This window comes from Homo sapiens, chromosome 2 (genome assembly GCF_000001405.40).
Source record: "Homo sapiens chromosome 2, GRCh38.p14 Primary Assembly".
NCBI classification, from domain to species: Eukaryota; Metazoa; Chordata; class Mammalia; order Primates; family Hominidae; genus Homo; species Homo sapiens.
Genome location: NC_000002.12, coordinates 23,018,105 through 23,042,468, shown reverse-complemented (window position 1 = coordinate 23,042,468; position 24,364 = coordinate 23,018,105). Strand labels below are relative to the sequence as shown.

The 24,364-nt window shown below is 45.9% G+C and overlaps 1 long non-coding RNA gene across 1 annotated transcript in view; it reads left to right on the top strand.

The window, feature by feature from the left end:
* The window catches only part of LOC107985792 (uncharacterized), a 180,825-nt gene extending 156,461 nt beyond the window's left edge, over positions 1-24,364 (top strand). Inside the window, exons 4-9 of the long non-coding RNA NR_171639.1 lie at positions 14,532-14,663; positions 16,520-16,648; positions 22,077-22,185; positions 23,423-23,489; positions 23,715-23,844; positions 24,214-24,364. This is a non-coding gene — a long non-coding RNA (uncharacterized LOC107985792). The remainder of the gene's footprint in view (positions 1-14,531; positions 14,664-16,519; positions 16,649-22,076; positions 22,186-23,422; positions 23,490-23,714; positions 23,845-24,213) is intronic.

Here is a 24,364-nt window from a genome sequence, read left to right as displayed (position 1 = left end):
CAAAGTGCAATTCTTAGATTTTGACTCAGTCCATGGAAACATTTAGGTCTTACCCTGCCCACTTGTGTTTACTCATCGGCAACGCTTCGAGAAGCCGTCAGATCTCTGGAGTTCTGCCCTTTAGCCACGCCTCAGTTTTGCCAGAACCAGCTGACCCTTGGGACTTTAAGAGGCTCCAAACATCCTGGGGTGTAGAAGAGAGAAGTGTACACTGATGGTGCTGAAATATTTTCCCAGGAACAAAGAAATAAAGGTGTTTTCTTGGCCTTTGTGGCCGTGGGAAAAGAGGACCAGAAGTGGAATTCCCTGATGCTGAAGTAGGACTTTTAATCCCTTCCCACCTGGGACCTCCCTTGAGACCACAGAGGATGGAGTGCTGAGGCCAGGAGTGTCAACACTTTGAATGCTTTCTGGGACCCCTGAACTTTGAAGGAAAGCTGAAGAGTTCTGGAATGTAACAGATCTTTCTAATAGCTGTAGTTGGAATAATATTATACTGTCAGAAGAAAAACTTGAAGCTACCTGGACAAGGGGAAGTGGTCTCACGAGGCCCCAGTGTCGGGAGAAGGGAGAAATCAGGATGGTGGCAGGCAGGCAGCAGAGGCCACAGGGGCAGAGGTCCAGAGGCAGAGCAGGCTTGGTGTGTTTGGGTAGCTCCAAGCAGTTCATTGTCTTTGGAATGCCAGGTGAAGGGCAGGGGGCAGCCAGCTGTGGCTGCAGGCTAGGCAGGGGCAGGCCAGGAATGACCTTGTGGGCAAGGCAGGGTGTTTGAACTTGACCCTGTGAGGGTGTGGGATGAGGAGGCTCGAAGGGCACTGGGCAGGGACATGCTGAAGTTCACTGAGAGTTCACCATCCCTGCTCCTTGTCCTTAGGAGCACACTGTCTCTGTCTCTTTGTTTTCATGGCAGCCTCAGGCTCTTCACTCAAGGAGTTGTCACTTCAAGTTGAGAACAAGCAGAGCAACAAATTCTCAAGAGAAATCTGTGCTTTCCCTGAAGTGCTGTTGGCAGACTGGGAGGAAGGGAAACTTGACACAAGATATGTGGGACTTTGGGGACAAACAGTATATTTTGCACGTCACTGCAGGGCATTGGGAGGTCTTGTGGATGCTTAATTACATCCTGCATGGTTTTGTAGAAAATGCTGTGGTCATAGCTTGTTTGTGGCAGGTACATCTCCAGCAATGGCTGATGATGCTATCCCCTTTCCTCAATGTTAATCTTCAACAGAAAGTAAACCCATTGCAATCTGCGTGAGGGCTTTAGAAAAAGCAGATAGAATAAAAGGGAGAAAAGAAGTCCTCTTTTTTCTCTATTTTGGATACAGGCAGTGGGGCTGTCACTGAATCTGTGGAGGTGGCTGGAGCCCCATGGATCAGAATGGATCCTAATGCAGTGGTTGTGAGGGAAGAGCATGGTGTTGGGGTCGGGTGCCCTCCATGTCTGTCCATTTGTCCACAGACTGGCTATGTGACCCTGGGCAAGTTTCATTCTCTTTCTGGACATCCGCCTTCCCATCTGAAAAACGAGCCACCGAACTCGACATTCTCTTCTGGCTCCAAGTTTCTTCGTATAGTCACTGGGAATGTTCTTCCCCCAAGTTTGCCTACCTCCTCGTGTTTTATCTTAAGCAATTTTTGATGGTGTTTATTATTTATAACAGACTTATTTCCAAAGAGGCTTGGAGTCAGGTTACCATAAGAGATGTGGTCACAATGGAATCATTAACAAGGCAATTAATGATCAAATGTCATTTGGTAGGTGGTGGTGGTGGTGGTGGTGGTGGTAGTGGTGGTGGTGGGTGTACAACATATACCCAACCTTGGATGAAGAGGGCTTTTCCAAGTAAGCACTAAAGGAGAGCTCTGACCTTCCTGGCTGTCAGTGGGGGTTGGGTCCCATCCGCTGCTCAGAGGGAACCCTGTGTAATGGGAGAGCCGGGCCTTGCTGGCACCTTGGAAAGAGGTACAGAGAGTACTAGAAGACACCACTCATCAACAGCACTTCCATAAAGATGCAAAATTTCATCACCCAGCTTTTGTTTGTTTTCTCTTTTAGCAATTCCTATTTTCCTTGGCAGAAATGAGCAAATGTGTCTCAGAAACTGATGAAGGGTGACAAATTTAAGGTTTGCTTAGAGCATTTTTTAGAAAGTGGGAGAGGGCTCTTTCAGGGATGGCTGTGAAGCCTGAGCCTCCCTTCCCAGGCTCCTCTCCCCAGACCCTGGTGAGCACCTGTTCTCCCCCAGTGCATGTGGAAACCGAGCCTTCCCCCATCCCCTGCTCTCCCGCCCACTGCCAAGCAGCTGGAATGGAATCCCCTCCTGTCCCCTAAGCAGCCACCTCATAGAACCTCTCTAGGGATCCAGCACCAGGCTTCTGAGTAGCTCTTCTCTCCCGCTGATCTAGACACCCTTTTGGGGTGTTTGGGAGTCTACCTTTCTTATTCTAAAGCATGCTAAGAAAATGCCACATGCTGAGTAGATATTCTGCACAGCAACTTGTTGAAACCAGAGAAAATAAAAACTTAGCTTGAAAATGAGCAAGTTTCATGTTCTGCAGCTACCTCATCAGAAACACACGTCTGCTGCCTGAACTGTGTCAGAGACAGAAAGCCATCCTTCCAATAACTATGATTCTGACTCTGCATAAATTTGGGGGGTGCTCTGGGAACCGAGGGCTCTGAAACCTACTTTCTTTCCACGGCATGTGCTAGTAGCTCACATTAAGGATAATATAAGATACGTGGGCACTCAGATGCTAGCAGAATTTAACTCATAGCATGGTAGAGGCATTATGTGTGTGCCTGTGTTTAACTTAGGGCTGCAAAAAATGCTAAATTAAGAGCTCAGAGCATTGGCCCCTACATTCATCCATAATAACATGTAACTTTCAGAAGTTGAAAGTGTTCAGCACAATATAATCAGGCTGCACAAAGGATGGAGGCTCAACTGTGAGGCTCAAGTGACTCCACACTCAGCATAAATCTGGGAGGATCTGAAGCTATGGGCATCTTTTAACTAGGAAAGTTGGAGAACTCAAAACTACTAACACTTTCCTTGCTATTCCTCCTGTCTACTGAAATCTGCCACCCCCATTGTTAATTTCCTTTTTGTCCACACCAATTCTGACTTTCATTCCTGTCTTATTTCCTCTTTGAAATTTCCCTTGACTACTCAAACCAGCAGTAATTATAGGATCACAAACTCAGGGAAGTTCAAGGCTAGAAGGGTCTTAAAAATCACTCCAGGCTGGGCGCAGTGGCTCACGCCCGTAATCCCAGCACTTTGGGAGGCTGAGGCGGGTGGATCACCTGAGGTCAGGAGTTTGAGACCAGCCTGGTCAACATGGTGAAACTCTGTCTCTATTAAAAATGCAAAAATTAGCTGGGCGTAGTGGTGGGTGCCTGTAGTTCCAGCTACTCAGGAGGCTGAGGCAGGAGAATCACTTGAACCCATGAGGTGGAGGTTGCAGTAAGCCAAGATTGTGCCATTTCATGCCAGCCTGGGTGACAAGAGTGAAACTGCATCTCAAAAAAAAAAAAAAAAACAAAAAAAAGTCACTCTAGTTTCCCTGTTCTTCAAGGAAGAAATTCCTTAGAAAGTATCTCTCACTGTGGGCCTCCAACTTCTGTTTGAATACTGCTAGCAATGGGCAATTCATGACCTCTTGTGTAGCGTACTGCTTAGGAACTCCTACTCTGGAACCAAACACAGTTAGGTTTGCAGTCAGCTCTGCCCCTTACTAATTGGTTTTTCTTCGGCAGTTTTTGCCACCTCTTTGTGTCTAAGTGTCTTCATCTCAAAAATGGAGTTAATAATAATCTCTACTTCATAGGGCTGTTGGCCTATCCTTGGTTTGGACCAAGGTTGTGTCTTTTAAAGGCTAGGCTTTATAAAATATACTTTTAGAAAAATTTTGTTCTTTCATTTTTTAAGGAAGTCAAGGTTAATAGATATCTGAACTGTGGAATAAAGCCAACATGTCTATGTAGACATCTATACAGACACATATTGCACTCCGGACAGTTGATATTTGTGTGTAAGTTTGCTTGGGCTGCCATAGCAGAGTACTGCAGCCGGGAGCCTTAAACAATAGAAATTTATTGTCTCAGCAGGGTTGGTTCCTCCTGAGGCTGTAAAAGAAGGACTGGTTCAAGGCCTTCCTTCTTGGCTTGTAGATGGCTGTTTTCTCCCTGTCTCCTCACATCTTCCCTCTGTGTCTGTTTCTGTATCCAGAATTTCCTTTTTTAAAAGTACAGCAGTCATACTGGATTAGGGCCTACCCTAATGATCTCATTTTAACTGATTACCTCTGTAAAGACCCCATCTCCAAATAAGGGCACATTCTGTGGTACTAGGAGTTAGTATTCCAACATATCTTTTTCTAGAGGGGATACAATTCAACCCATAATATTGGGTAATGGACAACGTACCAGGCTTGGCATCTAGAGGCCTTGGAATGGATCCCAGTTCTATTAATGACTGGTTGTGTGACTCTGGCTGAGTCTCCAGATCTGCATTTTGCAGCTGTGCATTGGACAGATTAAATTGGATGACAACCCGGGTCCCTTCTAGCACTACAGGTCTAAGGATTGAGTGATCCATTTGTTTTGACAATGAACTGATGGAGATTCAAAGGGACGATTCTCAATATGGAGCTTGGAGAGTGGGAACACAGATGTTTGTGAGTGGGGAGTCTTATGCAGTTCACTTGTCCCCAGACCACACCAACTGCATTGTAAGAAATGGACAGTGGCTTTCCACTGTTCTGAAAGAGTCCTTTCTTTCTCTGCCATCCTGTTTACAATCCTGTTGCTTGGTGAATGGCCCTATTTTAGCTACAGTGTGGTATTTTTATGGACTTAAAAGCTCCATAAAGCAATGATTTCGGGTAAGGTAGTTGAGGAATTCAGTGACTTTAAGAACATATTTGTAATATTTCACAAAAATAAGCCAACTTTTACCTTTTATGGGAATAAACATTTTCAACTGGGAGAGTTGCATTTTTTTTCTCCTCTACTCTAATTCTTAGAATAGTCTTGCAAAAAATGGCACCCAGTAGAGTCCTTTGTGCATTTTTGCCTTTTGTCATATTGTTATAGTCATTGCAGGATGGTTTTATTTTTGTTAAATGACAGTTTAAATGTTGATCCATTTCAGCAGAGCACTGAAGCCATCAGCATATAATTGCATTAATATTAATTCTCATCTCAAAGAGAAAGGGGTTTTGTAATCATTTGTTATTTAACCCCAGCTGCAACCTTCCCAGAAAAGAAGAGGACAAGTTGACAGATCCATGCACGCTCTAAGATGAGCTGTTGTGCTGTCTCTCCATTCAGGGCCAGAGTGGGTAGGGGACCCCTCCTATCACCAAGCATAGTCCTGGGCACACATCAAGATTTTCATAAAAGGAAAGGGAGATTCGTGGTTATTGCCGGATTCAGGAATCTAGACTTAAGCCTTATGCAGGGAAAGGTTCAGAGTTGTTGATGTTTGTCAGATGTAACTAGGAGATTCTCTCAAAACAGATGTACCCTGGGTCATCTCTGATTTTGATGCACTTGCTGATACAGTGATGCGTTTGCCAAAGTTTTCTTTTGGAGAAAGCAACTCCTGTTGGGATTTGGAGTAGGATGTCTGCCAGTGGAAGAAAACTTCCCTCACAGTTCCCTGAAGTGATCTAGGAAGGAATGAAGCCCAAGGTCCAAGGGCCCCCAGTTCTTTCTACCTTGGCCAGCAAACTGCTGTTTTGTCACCTCTTATGATAGGAACAGTGTGTCTGGCTGTGAAATTTCCATTCCTTCTGAAATGCAGAAGTGATCTACGATAGAAATCTGGGTGTAGCAGAGAGCTTGGAGGAAACAGTATTTTTCATCATTCAGAATCTCACAGCCTGGACCGGCCCTTGGGATGGTGAAAAATTTAGGCTGTATCTGGACACTTTGCATAAGTCCTTCGTGTGACCAGACTCCTTTGTGACCATCGGGGAGTGGGGTGGTGCCTCCTCTCAGAGCTCTTCCCTGGATTTGGGCTGAGATAGCTATGTCACTTCATGTCATGTCAGGATTGGTTATTCTTCCAATGTCATACCTTTAATGTCTTTTCTTTTAGAGGACAGGGCAGGGCCCAGGTCTCAATCTCTGCCCCTTCCCATCATCTCTTGAAGTCCCCATTCATCAAACTCATTTGTAGCCCTTACTTGTTCACTGAATGAATGTCCATTCATCTTTGGAAGCAGCCAGCCTGTTGTTAGCCATCGGTGGCTGACCTCCTCACCTCCATCACTGTCAGTGTCTCTGGCCTGGTTCTTTGGAGGCAGAGTCCCCAGACAGGAGACCTAAAGAGACAGGATGATGTTTGGGGCTTTGATTCTTCAGAGGTTAGATCCTTAGACAAGCAAAGCTGAATTAGCATCTGAGAACCTTCCTCCTGAGGGACCAGTCCTCTGCCTCCAGCTGACCTCTGGAAGATGGGCAATGATGCTGTTGACAACATCCGGTCAGGGGTCAGTGTGGAAAAGCAAGCAAGGTCACCGTCCATCACGCTGAGTCCACTGTGGTCATCCTGCAGGTATTACTGAGGGTCTGATGTGTGCCAAGGATTGTGTCAGGCCTTGAGCAGCATGACTATGAACCTGTGGTGCTTCCTACTTTTGGGAACTCAGCTGCTTGAAAAAGACAAGATACCCACTGGGAAAGCTGACTTATCTAAGACCCAGGGATTAGCGTCTGCCACAATTACTTGCACAGCAAGGCATCCATATCTGTTTTGATGAATAATTAAATGAATGAAGTGCCAAATGGCTATTAGGAAGGAATGTCTAAGAGGAAAAGTGCTGAGATCTGGGAAATTCAAGGGAGAATTTTGTAGATGACTCAGGTAGTCTGGAAGGACCTGCAGTTTTTGAGTTTTTGACAAGATAGAGAAGAATGAGAGGTCCTGGCAAGAGAGTGGCCCCAAGGCTGGAAGGAATGGAGCAGAACAGAAATGGAGCTGTGTGTGCGTGCGTGTGTGTGTGTGTGTGTGTGTGTGTGTGTATAGATATAGATATCCATATAGTGTGTGTATTTGTATATTTAGTTTTTTGTTTCCTCATTTACTCTTCCCAACCCTTGTTTGCTACTGCCCCCCACTCTGATTTTCTCTTTGATATTGTGGTCTTTTTTTTAAACAAGCTAGAGAAGTTCTGCATTTTAAAGCCTATCTTGCCTGCCAAGTTGTGCTCCCAAGTCCTCTAAGCTCCACATGCAGCCAGAATAACTTTAGGATGAAGCTCATTAATAATGTGCATGGTAAATCACATCCGCTGCAGGAGGCCTGCAGAGGGGGGCTCTGCCCCTGTCATCAAGCTTTCAGAAATGGCAGCTCACAAATAGGACACCCCGTCCCCACAGCCTGAAGGTACAGGAGCTGTCCACACAGGTGTCCGGTGGGGACATTTCTTTGGTAAAATTTCTCCATCCAAGGTAGGGGCTCAAGTGCAAAAGCCTGGTCTCTTTAGATATAGTTGCTTCCTGGCTCAGCATCTTTGTTGCATCTTTGTGGATATTCTCAGCTGGGGGAAGGGGATTTCCAATGGCATACTGCTTAGTATGAATATGCCCATTAGTTATATTAAACAGGCCACTGCAATGATTACAAATAAATTTAGCACCAAAAGGATTGTGCAGATATTCGGAGCCATAATAGTGGTCTTCTGATGACAAATCAACCGGCTTTCCAACAGGTTGTGGAGGTGCTGAGGGGAGGGGTTCGTCTCCCTGGTGGATGACCGCACAGTCTTAAAGGGCATCGCTTTCCTGGAGCAGATGCAGCTTGAGTTTAGTTCAGGTAACATCCTCAAGGCCTGGGATGCCGGCTGCATCTTCTTACTTTTCCTAATATTTGTGAACCATTTTTTTCCTGCTTCATGCTAAATGCACTTGCATCACCCACCTCCAGCTTTCTCCTAGGAGGGAAGGTGCCCACTGTTTACAGCAGGCTCTCCCTGTGATCCTGCTACCTTTAGCACCAGATTCCTGCAGGATCCAGAGGAGCCAGAGTCCATGCTTGCACCCCACTCCTAAGCCAGAACCTTCTGGTGGTCTCCCTGAGACAGCCATTGTCAGGTGAAGCCAAATCCCACCTTTTGAGCTTGTGGTTAATAGCTCATGGATATCAGTCTGGCTATTTTATGCTTCAAAGTGCTGTGTTATTATGCCTTTGATATCCTCTAGATCCCAAGTGGACAGTGCTTTATTAGACTTCTTGAAATTGGGACACAACATTTGAGGGGAAGGAAAGAGTGTCAAAACCAAAGCAAAAAACAAATTGAGAGAGGAGTGATGAATGACAGGCAGGTTCTTGAGCAGAACGCAGTGAATCAAAAGGAAAGAGTATTATTTGTAACAACAAGAGTCATCACAGGATGAGTGTGACCTCTTCTGTGCCAGTTAATATGCTTGTCCTTTATGTGAGGGCAGCGTGGCGTGATGGCCAAGATCACAGACTTCAGTGCTTAATTGCCTGGGTTTGAATCTTGGCTTTCTGCTGATGACTTGAGTGTCCTTAGTCATATAACTTCTCCATGCCTTAGCGTTCCCATCTATAAAATGGGACTAATAGTATTATGTATCTCATAGGATTGTTGTGACAATTAAGTGAGACAATTTATGTAAAGTGTACAGAACAGGATCTGTATCTTGTGAAGGTTACTTCTTTCTAACATGTCTTTGATCATTATTATGCTCGCAATTTTGCTATAATCGTGTACCCATGTGTTAATATTTAAATACCTTGTAAAATATTTTCAAAATTATGAATAAAAGAGATATATTAAAAAGTACAAAAAGCATAAATGTAGAAATCAAGAAATTATCATGAAATGAATACTCGAGTCAAGAAACAGGGCCAGGACCTTGGAAACACTTCTGAGGTCCTCTTCCTGCTTCTCCAGAGGTAACTCTATCCTAACCTTCAAACTATTGTTTATTTTGCCCTGTGTTTGCTCATTGTACATATGGGATCATATAGTCTATTTACTTTTGTGTGTGTCTGTGCTATGGTTTGAATGTTTGTATCCCTTCCAAAATTCACTTTGAAACTTAATGCCCACTGTGGCAGTAATAAGAGGTGGGGCCTTTAGGGGACTAGCTAGGCATTTGGCCCTTCTGCCTTCCCCCATGTAAGGACACAGTGTTCATCCCTTCTGCCATGTGAAGACATAGCAAGGAGGTGAATCTCGGGAACAGGGAGCAACCCTCACCAGACACCAAATCTGTTGGTACTTTGGTCTTGGACTTCCCAGCCTCCAGAACTGTAAGAAATAAATTTCTGATAAATTACCCAGTTTCTGGTATTCTGTTATAGCAGCATCGGTGGACTAAGACAGTCTGGCTCCTATAATTCAGTAATATAGTTGAGAAATCTACCTCTGTTGTTGCATACAGCTGTGGTTCATTTATTTTCATTGCTGTGTGGTATTCCATTGTGTGTATCAGCACATTATTTATTTATTCTACTGTTTATGGACTTTTTAGTTATTTCTAGTTTTGGCTATTAGAAATAATAGTAGTATTAGCATCATCTCCATATTTATTAAAGCACATTTATGCTGAGCATGTACTTAGGAGTATATTGGCTGGGTTATAACATGGGTATGTTTAGCTTTAGTAGATAGTGCCAAATAGGTTTTCCAATTATTGTACCAATTTACAGTCCTGTTCTATGCAAGTGTTAGGCAAGTATGCAAGCTTCTATTGCCCTCCATCCTTACCAAGACTTAGTTTTATCTTTGTTTTCATGTAGCCATCCTGGGAATGTGATACCCTATTGTGTTCTTAATTTGCATTCCCCGATTACTAATGAGATTAGTTATATTTTCACAGTGACCATTTGGATACTTTCTTTTGTGAGTGTCTGTTCAAGTCTTTTATCTTTCTTTTTTTAAAAAAATATTTTTGTTGATTTGCAGAAATTCTTATATATTCTGGATATAAGCCTTTTCTTGGTAACGTGTGTTGCAATTAACTCTCAGTCTGTGTAAACTAAATTTAAACTTTAGATTTATCTTAAGTAGTAATATCTGTGAAGTTATAAGTTTGATGTTTGGTTATTTTTTTTCTAAAATAGCTACCTATTTTAAATAACAGTTTGCCCTGTGCCAACTAAAATGTTCCTGTACCACTGATGGTGTGTTTTCTCACCCTTTGGGAAACACTTCATTATCTCATGTAATCTTCACAAATAACCTATTTGGTAGGTATATTGTTATTCCTTTTTTCCACATATGGCATTGGAGGCACTGAGAGGTTTGATAACTTACCCAAGGACTCACAGCTGAGATGAGGACACAGGGGTAACTGCCTGCCAAGCTCAGCCTATTCCATCATATGGCTGGTCAACAGGCTGTTTTATCACTTGCTTTACACCCTAGATCCTTGAGAGACTCTGCATCCCCACAGAGCCTTGTATGTAGTGGAGCCCCCAGCGTTTGCAGGGTGGATGGATTGTTGGATAAGTGAGTTGGTGAATAGATGAGTGGATAGATGAATGTATGGATTGGTGGATAGATGGATGGGTGGATTGGTGAGTGGAAAGATGAATGGAGGGAGATATGGGTGGATGGATTGATGGATGGATGGATGGAAGGAGGGAGGAAGGGAAGGAGGTGGTGGGAATGAATGACACAGGAAGGTAAGTGTTTTCACAAAGGCTCTTTGCCTGGGGAGGAGCTTGCTCTCAGGTCATGCCCTGGGTGTCTAAACCTGCACCATGACCTCACAGGAGCCTTGCCATGACCCTTCTCTTTTCAGTGGCCTTACTGGAGAGAAAGATCAGAAGGGATCTGGGGAGGAAATGGCAATTCCAGTTTGCCATTGCTGGGGAGAGAGGTGCCCTCTCATCTTCCTCAGCTTAGCAGCTGTTTTAGGAACTCTTGCTTGCGGAGGAAGTGAAAAGTAGTGGCCGGCACACTCCAGTGAGTTGTTAAAGCAGCTCTGTCTAAATGTCCAGAGCAGGGCTGAGATGCAGGCTTGCCTTTGGAATGGCTTTCAGACCCCTGGATGAAGACCCCTTCTCTGCTTCTTCTCTGAGCAGAGAATGGGCAGACTGGAGGGTTAATCCCTACATTCTCCAGACTCACTATGTTTGACCTCACCTCATCCATGCTTTTCTTTGCCTGATAGAACTTACCCTGTTTCACTCTAACACTGGCTAGCTCTGTCTCAAGGGCCAACCTGAGTGTTTCTGTGGAAAGGATGGTAAGTGGGGCTCTGTCTGAAGAGCAACAATGAGAATCTGCCTAGGGAGACCCCTTTTGGGATTGGGGTGGGGTGGGGTGATTGGAAAGGTCACTGTTCCTGGCTATAAATCTGTTCATGAACTATTTGTTGAACTTTTGTTCATACTAAGTAAGTGGCCACTGGGACCTGTTCTCATGCTGAGTGCTGGTGACATGCTATTCTGGAGTATTTCTGAGCACTTTTCTAGGAAAGTGCTTGTTGTATTTAATAAATTGCATTGATTTATTGCTTTTATTGATCTGCTGAAGCACTCTATATTATCAGAGTTGATAGTCTTCTTAGGAAAACATGGAAGTTCTCTTCATTAGCATCCATTTTTCTATAAGGCTTTGGAGGGTGAAATGCCAGGATGCACAGTGTTCATTCTAGTGATATATTGAACACCATCAGGGTGAACAGTGGCTTTGGTATAAATCAGGTGGAAGGAAGAATTGAGACCATTTGCCATAGGCTCGCTGAAGTTTTTGTGATGAAATGAGCAGGCTTCTTTTCTTTCTTTCCGTGATGACAAACTCCTCTCTTAGTTTTCCACAGGGAGAAGCAGCAGGCTGAAGTGGCTCTTTAGGGAGACACATACCTCCACAGGAAGAGCAGTCTAGATTGTTTTAGCACATTCCACTTAAGGATTGCAGTGTGACAGCAGGTAAATCACTTGCCACTTTTGTGCCCATGCGTCTAGCCTGTCAGTTTGTGCCTGACCCTCACCTGTGACATGCTCTGTTTCTCTCTCTGCTTCCTTCCCCAGACCCAATTGAGTCTGGAAGTAGCTCTGGGATTTGCTGCATGTTGCTGGCCCTGAGTTTTGGAGAGAAGCCCTGATAAGACTAAGAGGGATGCTGATAACCTGGAGGGACATTGATGACGTATACCTGTGCCTCCTTCCACTTTATTTGGCTGGCTGCCTCCCTATGTCCCGGCTTAGGTTTTTTCTTTTTCTCCTGGAGAAGACGAGTGGAGTCTGGCTCCTGCTTTTACCTCCTTACGGAGGATCTTGCAGGCTTAGGAGCCCCATTTCTGGGAGCTTTCAATTTTGACAACTGCAAATCCTTCTGCCTTCCATGTGGATGCATTTGTTGAGCACTCGAAGCTCCTTGGATTCCTTTTGCATCTGGCAAGAAGGAATTTTCTCTCCTTGTGCATCTGCAGAGATTGTGCTGTCATTCCAGGAGACCTCACACTAGCATTTGTGGGGTCCAGGGACAGTTCTGAGTTTGAATCTAGTCTCACACTGTGTGACCTTGGGCAGATTACTTAGTTTCTCTGAACTTCGGGGCATCCCTTAATTGCTTGATAGGGATAATAATGCCAGACTCAAAAGGTTATTGCAAAGGCTAGAGGAGCCAATATTTGCCAAGTGTTTAACAGCATGTGGCACACAATGCCTGTTCAAACACTGGCAGCTATCATTATTAGTGAAGTTTTTCTAAACATGCATTAAGCAGGCAGCACTTGAAGTCGTGGCTAACAAAGTCTCACATTCTCTGTTGGTCCTGGGGGTAAAATTTGAATGAGACTCTCATGCCTCTGCCTGCAAGGAGCTTGTTATTCAATGGATGAGACTGGCAATGAAACAATTAAAATATAGCACAGGAAGTTCTATGGAAGGATGGTGGTGGTGGGGGACATCACAGATCACAAAAGGAACACGTAGGAGGGATATCTAATCCAGTCTAAGATCTGCCACCATCCCTCCCCAGGCTGGACTGAGGCTCTGAAAGCTGACTGGGAGCAGGGAGGGATAAGGAGCAAAGGCAGTGCTGGGAGCCTCCTGTTTGTAGAGAAGTAACCATTCCTGCAATTCCCTCCACATCCTCAGCAAGGACAAGCCTGCTGCTCCCATGATGTCACTTTGCCCTTTAAAAATTGTGTACGGGCTGGGCACGGTGGCTCACGCCTGTAATCCCAGCAGCACTTTGGGAGGCTGAGTCAGAAGGATTATTTCAGCCCAGGAGGTTGAGACTGCAGTGAGCTGTGACTGCGCCACTGCGCTCCAGCCTGAGAAACAAAGTGAGACCCTGTCTCAAAAAGCAAAATGCAAGAAACAAATAACAAAGTTGTGTGTGGTTCCACCTGATTTATCTTGGCAATTATGTGTAGTATAGATTGAGCATACCTAATCCAAAGATCTGAAATCCAAAACATTCCAAAATTTGAAATTTTCTGAGTGCCAACATGACATCGCAAGTGGAGAATTCCACATGTAAGTACTTGACACAAACTTTCATGCACAAAGTTATTAAAAAATTGCCTTCAGGCTCTGTGTACAAGGGGTATATGAAACATAAATGAATTTTGAGTGTAAACTTGATCTAATACTCAAGATATTTCACTACGTGTATGCACATATTTCAAAATCTGAAAAAGTTTGAAATCTGAAACACTTCTGGTCCCAAGCATTTTGGATAAGGGATTCTCAACCTGGACTTGCCCAATGTCTTTATTCCCTGCTATAGAATGCATCTCCTACAGGCATGATCCCAGGCTGTCTGCTATTTCCTCAGCATTTAGCATAGGGCGTGTAACACTTTTTCATGCTCAACAATATTAATAATTAATTGAGAATACAGCAAACATTGAGACTTGCCATACTCTGTCATTCAGAAATGCCCCTAGTCTTTGTGGATCTCCCTCCTCTTCCACTCCTTCCTGCAAGCTGGTGACTGGCTCCCAGTGGGCTGGCTCTAGGCTCTCCTGCCTGTCAGGGATTGGGGTTTGAGGTGGGAGTTGTACTCATTCTGGTAAAGCAGCCAGCACGCCCCTCTTGAAGCTGGTTTTGGCCCTTTGATCTGGCGCAGGCCCCTTGCTCCTCAGGGTTCCCTGTCTGATAATCAATGCTGTCCTTATCTTCAGAGGAAATGCTGCCCAGTGATATCCCACACTGAATTGATTAAAAGCAGAACTTTGAACTCATTTGCTTGGAGAGGTCTTCATGGAGTGACTCACTCTGTCCTCCCTTAATGTTGTCCCCATGTCTGCCGGAAGCCCCATCTGCAGTTCTGAGGTGACTCCTATTGCAGGGCCAGAGAATAATTTGCATTTTCACAGATTAGCTTGAATAGGAGCTATTTAATGTATTTATCTACAACGAACTCACCTTCTTTAACCGACCTCTCTTCAACTTGTGTTTATAGCTCAATTCAGTCAGAACAACCTCCGGGTTTTCATGGCTTTCCCTTTTTCTGTTTTGATTTTGTTCATTTGTTTTTTAATCCAACATTTACCATCATTATGCTTTCCTTCCTTGCAGAGAAAATCCTCTCCAGTCAAGTAATTGCATCCATTTCATCTTCCCAGCCCTCCTCTAGATGGGAGGTGGAGGTGTGTGTACCAATCTCTTAATTCAGAAATGAGACAAGAGGAGGAAAAAGGAGTTCCGGAGGTGTGTGATCCAAGTCTGGCTGCAGGCTATGGACATTCCAGGAGGGAGACTCCATCAGAGAAGTGGAGCTGGAGTTGGGTGTTAGAGGGTAAAGGGAGGGTTTGAACAGGCAAGGGATGGGGGAGGAGTGCCTTACAGTGGGAGAGGGAGAGGCTGCTTGAAAAAGCATAGAGCTGTGAGTGAGCATGCGTGCCCAAGGAGAGGGAGCCAGGCACTGCCAGGGTGCAGGTGGGGCAGACTGGCTAGGTGTGTGGCCAGGGTGTGGAAGGAACATGCTAAGTGTGACAGTTAATTTATGTGTCATCCTGGCTAGGCTATGGTGCTCAGTTGTTTGGTGAAACATCAGCCTAGATGTTGCTTCAAAGGTATTTATTAAATGTGTAATTTAAATCATAGACTTTGAGTAAAGCTGATCACCTTACGTAATGTGAGTGGGTCTCGTCCAATCAACTGAAGGCTTTAAGAGCAAAGACAAAGGTTTTTCAAAGAGAAAAAGAAGACTCTCCTCAAGACTGTGACATAGAAACTCTGCCTGAATTTCTAGCCTGCTGCCCTGCAGAATTTAGAGTCAAGCCTACAACATAACTCTTACCTGAATTCTCAGGCTGCTGACTTACCCTGCAGATTTTGGACTTGCCAGCCCCTCACAATCCCATGAGCCAATTCCTTAAAATAAATCTCTCTTTTTCCCTCTGTATATATTTATGTCCTATTGATTTTGGTTCTCTGGAGAGCCCTGACTACTACACTGAGTGAAGGGAGGGCTTTGCTAAGTGATCATGGTCCCAAGGGCAGCCTCTGAGAGCCCGCTCCTTTTGCAGGATATTTGAAGACCAGACCTTGAGTCAAATTCTGCAGCCAAATTCAATGCCCATAAGACTTTCTGCTCAGAAGACGTCATGCAAAGGGAATCCCCAGGGCTCTTTAAATTAGATCTTCTGTTTGTGCAGACACGTGATAAATGTTTTGGGTACAGCCTGGCTCACACCACATTTTCCACTTTTTGGGTGGAGTCAGTTTTAATTGACAAGAAGTGCCTTTACAGGTGGACTTTTTTTTTGGTGGTGGAGGGGAGTAGTTAAAACCGATGCTTTGCATTCTGTTGGGCAGCAGAAAGATTGCTTTTTCAATAAGCAAGCCTTGGGTTTTTCTGAGCCAGTGGTATGAGAAATGCCTCTCCTGAAGGCCACCACGCAAGCGAGTCCCCACAGAAGCATGCCCGAGCTGTCAGGTGCAGGGAGAAATATCTTTAGTAAGAGCCGGTCATGTAATGAGACTTCCCCACCACAGCATAGATGGGCAGAGGGGTTTCCACAAGGACAATTCTTAAGAATCTCTGTAAAAACGCATGACTCCATCTGTCTCCTCTCTCTTCTTTGGCTTCAGATGAGCTGAGCCATTTAAAAATTCCCCAACAAGGGACCCCAGGCACCAGAAGAAGTGATGAACAGATTTTCAATTTGGCCCTGATTTGCATAAATTTTTTTTTTCTGGCAGTTGAAATCATTGAGACTAGAGGCCGGAGATGGGTAGTAGTGGGTTTTCCCCATCTGAAGCGGATTCTTGATTGGTCTGGAAAGACTGCTGGAGCTCCTGGGTGCAAGGCTCTGACCAGCAGAGCTGGTCAGCAGAGCTGACTGCTCTGGGTGCAGCTTCTCCAGAGAAGGAAGAGATGGCAAAGAGGAAGGCCTGGGGTTCAGAGAAGGACTTTGCAACCCCAATGGGGAGTCAGATCCTCAGGTCTCCTCCTAGAGCGGCTGCCTGGTAACTTTCCCAGTGTCCTTCAGGGAGCATCTCCTCGTCCGTGTGGCTGGTTTCTTCTGATAGGAGGCTACCTTGTAATTTCTCACTGACAGGACAGTGGGGACCCCAGCCAGAGCCTGGGGACTTGGCTGCCTTGGAACCAGAACCTGGCCCCTCAGAGGAGTTGCAGAATTTCGATAGAGGAGTGGCAGGAGGTGTACTGGCTGAAGAGGAGGCCCAAGGTGTGTCTTGAGGCTCCACGTGTGATCATTTGGGCTATGTTTGGTGGTGGTGGTGGTGAAGGGCAATAGTGATGGGAAGGAATATGTAATTATAATAATACTAATAGCTAGCATTTGTTGAACGCTTCTTCTGTCCCAGGTGTGGGCCTAAGGGTTTGCTCATACTTTGTTATCTAATTGCCCCAGCAAGCCTGTGAGGTGGTGCTCAATTATTTTCATTCTCAGATGGGGAGAGAGGTTAAGAAACTTGACTAGTTATCTAGCCAGTAGGTGGTGGTACACCCAGGTTTGAACCTAAGTGGTCTGGCTTACAGCCTGTGTTCCTAACCTCTGCACATACTAACTTTCTCCCTAAGCTGTCTCTTGGCCTTGACATCATGCCTGATGTGTGGGCCAGGCCCCGTAGGTAGCCCTTTAGACAGCAGTATGGGCTTCATGGAGGCAGCTGTAGTCTGTGTCAAGAAACTTCCAACTCAAAAAGAGCCTCCCAAAGCCTGCTACATGTCCGTGTTCAAACCTCTCACCCTACCCTGCTGAAATTCCCTCCAACCTCTCTCCTCTTGTGCACTCAAATCCTGCCTCCCACCCTTTAAGGCCTCAGCTCCCATTCCACCCACTCATGGAGACTTCGGGTAGGGCTACCCCCAAAGCAGTGCTCTCTGGGAAAAAGCTTCAATTTGATCTGGTGGGTTAACTGGATCCCCACAGTAGAAATAACAATATAAACCTCAAGTCTAGATGTAAAAAAAAAAAATCGAATCACATAGGTGGGCTCTCTCTGTCCCATGGGAAGACATGGACGGACAGACACATTAGTAGTGCCCTTCTTGACACTTCCCTTGAAACTTTGCAAGGGGTAGCCCACCCCTGGAGTCTGGGCCTTGTTTGAATTCTTCCTACAGGGCACAGAAAGAAGGGAAGAGCAACTCTGGTCTAGGCAAGAAGGAAAACCAATGAGTATAGAGGTGTGTGTGGAAGGTGCGAGGGGCTGGGGCAGGAAACCACCACCACCACCAGGGAACACCCACTGCATTCCAGAGCAAGACATCCACTGTCGCTGTGGAAGGAGGGGTGGGGGGTGTGACCCCAAGGCCCCTCAGCCCTCTGGCAGCCAGGCGGCCTTGCAGCCCAAGCACTGGGCCTCATCAGCTGGCTGCCTCCTCTCTTTGAGTATCCTGTTCGGTGTATGCCTTGGTCTGGGAAATAAAATGACTGAAAGCCCATAATGAATGTGGTATTGACCAGAGAGAATGATTATAAGACTAGCTACTAATTAGAGACTTAGGCGAAGGCCTGTGGGTAGTTTACAGGGGAGGCCTTGGGATCTCAGCGAGTGGGCAGGAGTGGGCTGCTGATGAGGAGTTGCTCTTGACAGACTCAGCAGTGGTGCACCTGTCAGCTCCTGATTTTTTTAGGTAGGTAAACTGAGGGCACAGACAGAAAAAGTTGCTCACCCAGATCTCAGGGAACCTGACACCTAGGCCAAGAATCTTTCAGCTCAGCTTCTCCCAGGGTCTCACGTGGAAAGAATCTACCTACACTGGGATGTTGCATGGCTGCTGCTTATGATAACTTACATTCATCCAGTCATTCATTCATTTGTTCAAAGACTTTTTATTTTTTAGAGACAAAGTGTCACTCTGTCACCCAGGATAGTGTGGTGGCACAATCATAGCTCATTATAGCCTTAAACTCCTGGGCTCAAGGGATCTTCCTGCCTTTGCCCCCTAAGTAGCTGGCACCGTAGGTGCGTGCCACCACCTGATTAATTTTTGTATCTTTTGTTAAGACACACTGTTGCTATGTTCCCAGGCTGATCTTGAACTCTTGGCGTCAAGTGATCTGTGACCTTGCCTCCCAAAGTGCTGGTATTATAGGCAGGAGACACCATGCCTGGCCCTGTTTAAAGATATTTATAGAGTGCCTGCCATGGGTCAAGTACTGGGCCAGATATGGGATACAGCTGTGAACAAAAACAGACAAACATTCTTCTCCTCATGCAGCTATGTTTTTGAGAAGAAGAGAGAGACATAAATTAAACACACAATAAATAAATAAATACTATGTCAGAAGGCAGAAAAGACAATGGAGAAAAACAGACTGGACTGTGTAGGGTTCCCGCTGTGGCAGGTCTCTGGTCAGAGACCAGCAGGGATGCTCACAAGATAGTAAGGGCAGTGGAAGAATGAGTGATCCCACTCTGGCAACATGAGGGGTGCTGAACAATCTCTCCAGCCTGGAGAAGGGGTAGGAGGTAGAGTTGGAGGACAGAGCTGGATGCTGTAATTCATAAGACCATGTAAGAGATGGCCAAGAGGTACTGTCCCCCAGAGGCCCAGGGAGAGTCCTGGGCAGAGGAATGAGCTGGCAAGGTCAGGGTGGGCTTCCTAGGGGGAGGCAAGGTGTGGCTGGGCATGGAGGAAGTGGCATCATGGGGTATTTAGGGATGGCAAAAGAAGGATACAAGTAGAACTCGTGGGCTGGCCTGGGAGCAGAATACAGGAGGGGAGGAGTAAGGGATGACAGTAGAAGTGCTGTGTTGGAGTGGCCATGGGGATGTGGAGAAGAGGCTCATGGATCTTATCTCCCAGGGAAGATGGGGAGCTCCTGTGATTTATAGCTAGTTGACATTGTGAAGAGGCCACTTTTTAAAGGTCATTCTGGCTGCTGCAGTAGGGTTGTGCTGGAGTAAGAAGGAGCCTGAAATCCTCATGCCTGGAGGGCTGTGACTAAGGGGTGGAGAGAGGGGATGGATGTCAGAGAGGGAGGAAGAATCACAGGACTTAACATTGAGCTTTTTTTTTTTAGTTTTATTATTATTATAGTTTTAGGGTACACTATGCAGCCATATTGAGCTTTGCTCCCCAGTCTGAAGGTGTTTCTCTGGGTTTTGGCAGGGCCATGGTCTCCTGTTTCACTCTTGCACATATGACAACTTTCCAGGATGGGGACAGGAGGCCTGATTGCTTAGGGACACTCTGCAGATGTCAAATCTCTTCCTACCACTGCTGGATGCCACTCAATCTCTCCTTCCACAATCTTCCTTCCCTAAGTCTGGCCTGCACTTGGCCAGTCAAAATCACACAGACTCTGGGGAACAGTTGGCATGAGATGTTGGGGTCAGCCTAGGGCTAAAGGAGATGCACATGATCTGTTCCTGAAAGACCTAGCAGGGAAGGAGCTTTGAAGGCATTAGGTGTCCCGAGTCCAGTTACACTGGTGAAGAAGCCCCAGGGCACGTCTGGGTGCCTGAAATCAGCAGAGACTGTTTTGGGAGGTTGGTCACCAGGGACCTCTTTGAGGGTCTGCAATAAGTGTTCTTCAGCTTGTTGCAGCCTGGCAGAGGCCCTTGGGTTTTCTGGGTGGACAAGACTGAATCAATACAGTACCTAGTGCCCCTGATAAAAGACATAGATTCCAGCCTGGGCTAGGACTGGGTCTGGGAGAGGAATCATGCTGTGATTCCAGGCCCTACTGAATGCCTCTGCTGGGATCCACAAAGCAACCTCTGGACACCTGGGTGGGGCTGTCATGGGTCTCTGGGGACTGCTGGAGGCCTAAGGGTCCAATCTCAGAGCCATGCAGGGGCAGCAACCATGAACAACCAGGGCTCATGAGTAGGGAGAGTAGCCAGGTGGGTAGACCAGATGAACAAATGGAGATTCCAAGATGAGAAAAGGGGCCCCATTTAGTGACAGAACAGAGGCTGGAGTCCTGGTACCACTCCTCCTAGCCCAGTGCCCCTCCCCAACTCCCTGGGGTCTTGAATGGAGCTTAACTGAGAGTTCTCAGAGGCCATCGTGGGACAGATGAGTTTGACAGCCAGCAGTCTAATGTAGAAACTTCGCATTGATTCAGTGAGGCAGTTTTGCTGTGCCAGGGTTGGCTTTCCCACCCTCTCTGTGCAGACTTAGGTGGGTGTGTACTATGTGCTTAATTATAGTGCACATAACCAGAGAGGAGCTACTCAGAAGCACATGTCATTTTGTTTGGGGATAATAGACATGAAGGCTGGAAAATATCTATTAGATCATCCCGTCCTGCCTCTGCCAGAGCTGGTATGACGGGTGTCAAATCACCTGGGCTTTCTTCAGCCTGTGACTCAAACAGGGGGAGCTGGGATAGGCCTCCAGGGAGATGGCAACCCCATGTTTTTCTCAAACTCTGCTCTGGTTTTCCTTGTCTGTCTACTCACATTTTTCATCCGTGGATCTGGTTCTGCCGGCCTTGCCCTCTCGTGTCTTCCCAGTGAGCCTCGACTCCTCCAGCTTCATCTACTGAGCCCCCGCTCTGTAGCAGGGCTGCCCACGCTCAGTTCTAGGGGCTCAGACAATGATATCCATCAATCCACAGTCAAGAGCAACGTGAGACGTGCTCATGAATAATTTCAATTCATGACCAAATATGGAAACCGCCATGCAAGAAATACCAATGCAGGTTAGGGAAGGGAAAGGTGGCTCTGTCTCTGCTTGTTGGAAAGGCTTCTTGGAAGAGATGGCAGCTCCCTTATCAGAGCTGAGTGAGATTTCTTAAGTGCAGGAAAGGGGTTGAGGCTTTCCTCCATTTAGTGGGGGACTACAGCTTCCTTCTCTTCCTCCTACTGCCTGAACTGGGCCTGGTTAATATCCTTTGTCTTCACCTCATCTTTTTGGCTGTGACTGACTCCCTCTAAATCAAACCTTTGCCACCTCGTCCTTCTTATCTCCCCTTTCTCTTCCTTCCCTTGTCCTATTTTAGATAGAGTGGGGCAGCAGGTCAGGTCTCAGACCAGGGTGGGAGTCAGGGACCAGAAAGCTAGGGCCAGAGCTGCCCCTAGTCTTCAGCTCCTGCATCTGCAAAATGAGGGTTAAGGGCTAATCTCTACGGACTCTTTAAAGCCCGATGTTCTAGGAATTTCCAGAGCAGTGAGCTACCCAGCTGAGTCAGAGTCCAGAGGTGCGGTTTCATGGCTGTTTCTTCCTTGTTGTGACTTCCACCACCACCATCAGTCCGGCAGCTCCCAAATCTGCATCCCTAGCACAGATTCCCTTCCTGAGCCGTGGGACCATATATCCCACTGCTCCCTCCATGTCCCTAGGAGGTGCTTTAAAATCAGCATGTCCAAAAAGAAAATCATTATATTGCATACCATTCTGATTCTGTTGCCAGCATGCGTGTGCATAGCACACTCACATTCATACACTTCTGATCATGTGACTTTCTGTTTAAAACCACTCCACCAGGATAAAATCCCCAGAAAACAAGGCTTGGTGTGGCACAGGCCTTTATTGACCTGACCCCAGACTCATCTCTCATCTTCCCACCTCCCCAGACATCATACTTGAGTCAACCCTAACTACTGAACACACCAAGATGTTTCACACCTCCGTGTGTTAGCATTGGTTCTTTCTCCTGTATAGAGGATCATTTCCCCCTGTGTTTTACCAAGGAACTCCTTTTCATACATCAAAACTGAGCTTATCACCTCTACCCTGAAGTCATCCTGGACATCACTGGTCCCAGTTAATCACTCACTTATCTTTGCCATCCTTGACCTGGTGAGTACAGTCTTTATACCATTTATCAATTAGTTATAATATATTTATCAATTTGTTATAATTGGAGAGTTGTAAAGGATATTAACCAGGCCCAGTTCAGGCAGTTTACAGGTGTGTGGGCACCCCGTCTGCTATAGATCTTTTGGTCCTAGATTTCTATAGCACAACGCTTATCACTTATTAAGTACTAAAGTTTCTGATTTTTATAAACGGAACTGAAATGAATCCCAATTACTGACCTGTGGGACTCCCAGCCCTTTGACATCTTGGTCCTGCCCAAAGTCAGGAGTACATTTCCAGAGGGCTCTGCAGTGGGAAATAGTGGTGGGAGTCTGTGTGTATTCAGCTCGATGCATGCCCTATGTTAGGTGTTTTCCCTTTTGCAGGCTGGAGTGAGCCCTTGAGCTGACCCAGAAGTTCTGAGCATTTATCACCCAGTATTGATGACCATGTATTTTGCCTCCTCTCTTTATGCCTAAAGATGAAGGAAGAAATACAAGCTCATGTTACAAAGAGTATTTCCTGGGTTTATCAGCTCTCCCCCTCTCAGCTTGAGCTCTGAATGATTTCTTAGTTCTCAGCTTTTCTTCCTCTGATCAAAGTGCCTGAGGCAGTGAGCACTGGGAGGGCAGGAGCATTTCTGGCTGAGCCCAATGCTCACCTCTTCTGGGCCGTTTTAGGAAGCTGTGGCCCAGTGTTCTCTGGTCAGACAAGCATGGCCTGGCTGTGGAAGGGTCTCCAAAGGCTCATGGGTCCCAGGTGCCCTGGATTTTGAAGGCAGCTGCCCTGCCTCCACTGGGAGAAGATTAAAGCCCCCTTTGCCTTTCTTCGTCCCTCCCTTTCCCACTCTGTTCACTCAATCACTCTTTTCTCTCCAATGAATTAAATGCAGAAAATCCATGAGCAGGATTTCTCTCTTCAAAGGACCAAATAACCTTCTTTCTATTCCCCCTAAATTTTTTTCCAAACTGCAAAAAGAAAACATGCAAACAGACTTCAAGTTAAAGGTGAGAGAAAGAAAGAAAAATTGAAGCAAAGTAATTTTAACTTGAGAAGTAGAGCAGTTTAAACCCAGAAAAAAAATGTACACTCCGCAATATAGTCCTTTCCTACAAATTAATTAACCCAAAGTACTTGTTTAATTAGTGTGAGGGGTAGGGAATTGAGTAGCTAACAATATCTCTCACCCAGTTTAGAATTATGTTCACAAAAGAATTTCTTCTTCTTTTCCTGAAAGGGAAGAGAACGTTGCCCTCATTGGTCTGGAATCAGCAGGTACCTCATGGCTGGAGGTGTATTTTCAGGTGGGTTGGGACTTTGAAGAGGTGGCTTTTCCTATGGACCCCTCTGACTCCCCACCTGTGGGCATGACACAGGTGACCTGGCTGCCAGGGCAGAGGCTGCTTAGCCCTGCTCCAGAGAAACAGAGCTCTGAGGGCTTCCAGAAACCAGGGCTCCTGGCTCCTCAGTCCTTCCCACTCCTCTCTTCCTACTCCCGTGCTGCATATAAACTTTTCTTTTTTTTTCAGATGGAGTCTCACTCTGTCACTCAGGCTGGAGTGCAGTGGTGCGATCTCAGCTTACTGCAACCTCCGCCTCCCGGGTTCAAGTGATTCTCCTGCCTCAGCTTCCCCAGTAGCAGGGACTACAGGACCACAGGTGTATGCCATTATGCTCGGCTAATTTTTGTATTTTTAGTAGAGACAGGGTCTCACCATGTTGGCCAGGCTGGTCTCGAGCTCCTGACCTCAGGTGATCACACGCCTTGGCCTCCCAAAATGCTGGGATTACAGGCATGAGCCACTGCACTTGGCCTGCATATAAACTTTTTGAGTTTCCTGCTTTTGACATGAGCATGGATATTTATCACTTCTAGAGGCATTAGGAGAACTCAAGTCCAAGTGCTCAGAGACCTACAGTGCAGCTTAAGACCCTGTCACAGGAATCTTCGGGGTGGGGGCATGCACGGGAGTTATAGAGAGTTGGGGAAGGATGAGTTCTCAACCAATGCTTTCCTTTTTTCCACAGACTCCTTTGGCATCTGGTGAGGCCTGTGGATTCATTCTCAGAATCACATTTTTAAATGCACATAATAAAATACATAGAATTGCAAAGGAAGTTAATTATATTGAAATACAGTTATCAAAAATATAAATAAAACAAGTATGTGGTACAGTCA